Source organism: Homo sapiens, chromosome 4 (genome assembly GCF_000001405.40).
Source record: "Homo sapiens chromosome 4, GRCh38.p14 Primary Assembly".
NCBI classification, from domain to species: Eukaryota; Metazoa; Chordata; class Mammalia; order Primates; family Hominidae; genus Homo; species Homo sapiens.
The window spans coordinates 107,033,119-107,039,118 of NC_000004.12; the positions used below are offsets into that span (position 1 = coordinate 107,033,119).

The 6,000-nt window shown below is 46.3% G+C and overlaps 1 protein-coding gene across 1 annotated transcript in view; it reads right to left on the reverse strand.

Annotated features, from left to right (window-relative positions):
- DKK2 (dickkopf Wnt signaling pathway inhibitor 2) overlaps window positions 1–3,195 on the reverse strand; it is a 114,512-nt gene extending 111,317 nt beyond the window's left edge. Inside the window, exon 1 of the mRNA NM_014421.3 lies at window positions 2,252–3,195. Coding sequence (NP_055236.1) covers window positions 2,252–2,473 — 222 coding nt within the window. The 5' untranslated portion in view covers window positions 2,474–3,195. The remainder of the gene's footprint in view (window positions 1–2,251) is intronic.
- Window positions 3,196–6,000: the final 2,805 nt, after the last annotated feature.

Sequence of the window (6,000 nt, forward strand, 5' to 3'; positions counted from 1 at the left end):
TTCACATTTGCCAGCTAGCCTCCTGCTATTCAACCCAGTATTTTATTTTGTTTTACCTTCATCTTGAATATGTTAACAATTTTTTTCACAAGCCTAATGTCAAATTTTAACAATCTAGGATTCCAGTTAAGTAAATATAATAAAATATATTCCATAGAACTGCTATGTTATGAAAGGCATATAAGAAATTCAACTCATTTGTGAAATAAATAAATAAATTCTCAATTTAAGGCGATGTAAGTAGACTTCCAAACTCTTTAAGAAGCATAATTAAGTAGCTATTTGGAGAGGTAGCACCACAAAAACATATTTTATACCGATTTATATACAGATACAGTATTAAAACATAAAGAAGAAGCTAGGTTCTGGGATGCATCCCTCAGTCTCCCCTGTGTAACGCTAAGGCTAATGAAACGACGCATGTAACTGATTTTCTGACAGAGGAACATCAGGTATGTTGGCCCAATAGTGGAACAGAAACAAAAAGCGCTTTACAAAAATTCCCAGAAAATACATAGATTAGAATGGAAAGGAACCTCAGGACTATTGAGGTTTCCTTCCCTGTGTCCTTGGGGGAACTACACATTAAGCTTTCTTCAACTGGGAACATGAAATTTGAAGTCAGTAGCATTAGAGGAGTCATGATTTGGATTGAGAGCACCCATTCTTTCTAATCCCTGTTCCATTTCATGACAGACTTCTAAGAAACTGTTAGGACCATTGCTATTGAAAATCCTGGGGTGACTCGCAGGAGAGAAAAAGCGAAGGAAAGTGGTCACATAAGCGCGTAGGCATGTGCACGTGTGTGAGGATGTGCAACGGTTATGTTTGCCTGAACGTATATGTACTTTCTTATTTTTCCTGAGACCTTAAAAAAAATCTGATTGCTGATTTTGTAATCCCTTGAAAGGATAGCTGAAACGGTTCACACTTCAAAGCTCTGGGAAGAGTTCTGGAACTGCAAAACTAGCAAAACTGCAAAATTGTCCCCGTGAGAGGGCAGTAGGGGGCCAAGCCCGGGTCTTGTCTCTCTGTCCATCCCAGAATGGCTCGGCCCTCTCAACCAACCTTCAGCCGGCTGGCTGCGCTGTGGACAGGGGCGGCGGAGGACACCGAGAGCGCGCAAAACAGCAGCATCAGTCGGTTCCAAGGAAACTCGGATCTCTGGGGCGTGGGCCGCTGCCAGGGGTTGACACTTGTGTTGTGCGAGGTGCGTGTGCCATTGGTAAAATGGCTTTCTCAGTTTTGGCTTCCCACAAAAGGAGCGGAAGGGGGAGCTGTCATGATTCCCAGTGCCCACAGAGCCCCCTCTCCTGGCCACAGCGCGCCAGCCACAACTGGTACCGAGTGTGCGCGCTCGTCTCTGTGCGTGTCTATTTGTATAACAGTTTGCAAGTGGCTTTCAATCTATCTGTCTGTATGACAGAGACAGAGGCGCCTGCGGAAAGTTCCCTCTCTCAAAAACGCCTTCAGTGTCCTGCTGTATCGCTGGCGCCTACGACGCTGTCATTGTCATCTCATCATTTTGCTTCCTTCCGGGTGATTTATGTACAATTCTGCGTGAGTGAGAAATGCGCGTCTACTGGAGTTGTTTTGTCTGTGACCTTACTTCTTTGAAGAGAGTAAGTGGTTGGAAGGGAAGGAGACCCTGAAAAGGAGTAATGTCCCCTCCAGATTGTAAAATATAATGGTTAAACGCCCAGTATCTCAATGTCTAGACTGAAATCCCTCTCTGCCACTTATACTAGCTGTGTGCCTTGGGCAAATCGTTAATCAATCCGTGCCTCAATTACTTCATTAGCAGAATGGGAAAGCAACAGCATCTAGCTCACAGAGTTGTGAAGATTAAATGAGTGAATATGTAAAACGCTTAGAACTGTGCCTGGCACGTTATTAGGTGCTATAGGTTAAATGCTATTAACATCTTCATCAGTTGCATCACAGTGTTAAATGGAAGGACCATCCTGACCACTTTCTCCACAGGAAAGCACTAGATCTTGATATGTGCCCACGCCCCAGAGCAAAGGCGAGACAGAATCCTAACCCTTTGACTCCGTGCAGTGCAGGACCAGCAGCCACCCAGACACCCCCCGCCCACGCAGACCCTGTTCGGTGAATCCCTCCCCAGCCGCCTGTTCTCTGTATCTGGGGCCACGCTCCGAATGTTGCAAGATGCAATGGCAAACCGCTAGCCCAAGAGAGCTGGCCCCTGCCTCTTCTGTCTGAAGAATGTGTTTGGGGGTTTTCCTACCTGCCCCAGGTTTTTGCCCTTCTTACTGCCGCCGAATGCCAGTCCTTGGTACATGCCCGCAGATCGATTGGCGGCCTGACCAGGCGTCTCCCCGCCCAGAGAGGACTTGATGGAGTTGAGTTTGGCCCGCGAACTGCCGATCTGTGAGCTCTCCACCATCAGCACCGCGGCCAGTAGGAGCAGGCAGCAGGACGAATCCTTGCTCCGCATCAACGCGGCCATCTCCCGGCGAGGGGGTCCCCAGGAAGACGCAAAGCCCGGAGGGGTGGGAATGCAAAGGGAGGGAGGACCCCAACACGGGGCCCCTCACTTGGGTCGCGGGGGCTTGCAGATTGTGTTCCCTCAACCCTTCCTGGTTCGGGGACCCAGGACCCTATGAACTCAGTCTCACGCCTCAGGACAGAAATTAGCGGAACCCAAGCGAGACCCGCTTCTCCACCAGGACAGGAAGTTCTGCAATAACTGGAAGCAATCAAATGCGAGGCGCTTTCTCGCCAAGGAGGCGTGACCCAAGGTGCAAGAAAACCCAGCCCTGTGGATCGCACCGCTTCCGTTCCTTCTTGCCCCGCACCTCCTTGGTCCCGCCGGGATCTCGGCGGTTTAACTCTCCTCTTAATTGATCAGGAGGCCCGCATCAGCTCCTTCTCCTTCAACTCAGTTGCTTTTCTCTCCTCTCTTTTCCTATCCTTTATGTGTCAAACTTTGCAGGACACAGTGCTCCTTTTCAAAGTTAGCAGGCGCTTTAGTAGGGGATCAGGAGACGTCCCCGGACCGAATCCTCGAGATCTGAAGAGAATCGAGGTCCCCCACACGCGCACTCACAGTTGCCCCGAAGCGTTGTCCCCTGACTCACAAGAGACAGCGAATCGCTGCCAGCGCAGCGATGCCTAGGGAGCGGACTTGCGCTACGCTCGCCGCGGGCTCCCGCTTTCTCTCTCTCTGCTCTCTCCCCAGTCCTCTTTGCTTTTTATAGCTTCCCACAGTGAGGACTTTTTTTTTTTTTTTACCTCCGCCCCCAATTCAAGAGTGACAAAGAGTGAAAATTTTTCTCTCACTCCCCACCGCTTCCGCCCCCCTCCTCTCTGCGTGCTGCTTCTGCTTCTGCGGCTTTCACTCCAGCTTTTCCTCCTCCTCATCCTCCCGCTCTGTCTCCACCCACAACTACTGGAAAAGGGGGATCTAGCTTTTCCATGAGGTGAATGGAACATAGGGGCTCCTAATTCCTGACAACAACTCCAGCGGTTGGAGGGGTCTTTGGAAACTGGCAGAGACCAAAGGTGGAAACGGAGTGGGGCAAGCTGACACCACTTGATCGCTGCCACCCTTTCTTAGATCTTCCCACCCATCTTCAGCCCCTGACTCCGCGAGGAGAGCTGGAAAAGCCCTATGGAAGCTTTAGAGAAGTGAGCATCTGCGCATCTGCTCATTAGTATTGTGTTCTTTGTGAGCTCACGTTTGGTTTTAGACTGTGCCTCCCAGGGAGTGTGTGAAGCTGGAGCCACATAGGTGCGCCAGGGGGTGGCCAATGATCCGGATAGAGGGTCTGGAAGGAAAGGGGCAGACCAAAGAGGGGAAAAGATGAGCCTGTTCGATTTGGGTCTTTTTAGTCTCCTCCTTCGGAACCCCGGGCCCCGCCGCACTCGTAGAATATGTCTATGTCTCTGAGGGACTGGGAAGAAGGGGATGCTCTGGGTACGCTCCAAGGGTTTGGACCTCACAGCTCGAATGAGCATCTTTACCATGCCAGGCAACTGCTCTTTTTGCGAATAGGAAATCCCAGATAGGAATGAACGGGGGCAGGGAGCCTTTGAGATCCTGTCTTCCTTGGCTTCCTGCCTTCTAGCCCCAGTGAATTACAAGAGAAGCCATTCCTGTCAGCCCCCGGGTCTCTCCAGGTCCAATTCCCTTCGGCCGAAGGTCGAAGGCTGCTCCGGGAACGACTGGGACGCGCTGGCGCTTGGGGGCGCCAGTGGCAGCCGTTCAGCGAGCCACGGAATTGCTGCAGGAGACAAGCGCTGAGTTCGGTGATGTCTGGTGGCCAAGTGCGAGACTTTCCAAGCAAAGCAAGGGATTGTTCGAAAGTTATTGCATTTCTGCTTCGCAGACACTAATGTCCAGGAGCAGAGAAATCCAAGCATTGAGCCACAACTTGAAGTTAGAAGGCAGCTAGCCGCCAGGGGAGGATACAAGCAGCATCCTCTTCAGAATTTTTGGACCTAGATTTCACAGCTTTCACACCTGATCCTGGCGCATGTCCATGAGTACGAATTAAACTTGTCGCTAAGTGAGAACGTTGGTGACTCTTATTTTCCCCCAAAACAACGCAGAGTTCTAAAGTGTGGATTTAGAGCTATTTTCTCCCAGACAGCTCCAGTTTTGCAAATTTCTCAGTCCTGACCTATGAGTCTGTCTGCCCTGAAATTCTTCATTTTCAGATTTTTTTTTTAATACACAAGGAAACGGGGATTAAAATATGCACCCTCTGGCATGTGTTCTTATCTTTTGAATTTCCTTTCTTTAAGGTAGAGATTTTTCACATTTTAGTGTGTGGGGTTTTTTTTCCACTTTTTAAAAATATGCCAGGAATAACAATATGGGTGACCCCTGAAGGACATCATACTAAGTGAACTCGACCAATCACAGAAAGACAAATCCACTTATAGGAGGTACCTAAAATAGTTAAATGCATAGAATCAAAGGTTGGAATGATGGTTACCAGGAATTGGAAGGAGAGGAGAATGGGGAGTTACTATATCAATGATCATAAAGTTTCAGTTAACTAAGATGAATAAACTCTAGAGATTTGTCATATGGTATTGTACCTATAGCCAACAATAATGCATTGTATTTTTAAAAACTTATTGAGAAGGTAGATCTCATGCTATATAGATATAAATTTTATATGTGTGTGACTTTATATACATGTATAATATATATATGTATTTATACATATAACATGATTGTAGTAAGAACATTTAACATCTATATATGCCCAGTAATAAATTTGTAAGTTTATAAAGTTAAGTGAGGCATTCTAGGCACTAATAAAAGGCAAGGAAATGGGTCGTTACTCTATAAATAAGTACTTAACGATTCCAAGCTTAGACTTTACAGAAGAGTATATCTTTTGCCTTCATTCTGATTTGCCAATCAGAAAGCATGACAGAAATTGAGAAACTTAAGTTAGGAGTATACTGGTTTAAATATTTTTGAAAAGTAGCTTAGAGCAAAAGGAAAAGATAGAAGCTAAACATGTAGGCAACAGATCACTCTACATTCACTTGGAAGGGTGTAGACTTTGACCATATGTTGAAGAACAAACCCAAATGAACCATGAGAAAATGTGAAGATGCTTTGCCTATTTCTGTCACTTCCTTCTTTCTTTACCTCTAAATAAAATAATATCCCACATACACAGGCCTAACTTTACTCACATGTACTGCTAAACAGAAAACATATATCAAGCACAACACATTTACTCTCAGCTCTGAGTACCATCCTAAACACATTATCTCAGAGGCTTATTCAAACCCCGCAAGTTCCAAAAGCAATTTTTTACAAATACAGTTAAATTAAAAGTCGACATAAAATCTACTTACACAAACATTCTTCCATATAGAACAAAATCAGACATATAGAATCAAAAGCTAAAACATACACAATTACGCCTTAGGCTAAAAAGCAGTCAAAAACTAATTTCATTCATGACCCAAATGCTTTGTGTAAATTTTTTTTGACAGACAGAAACA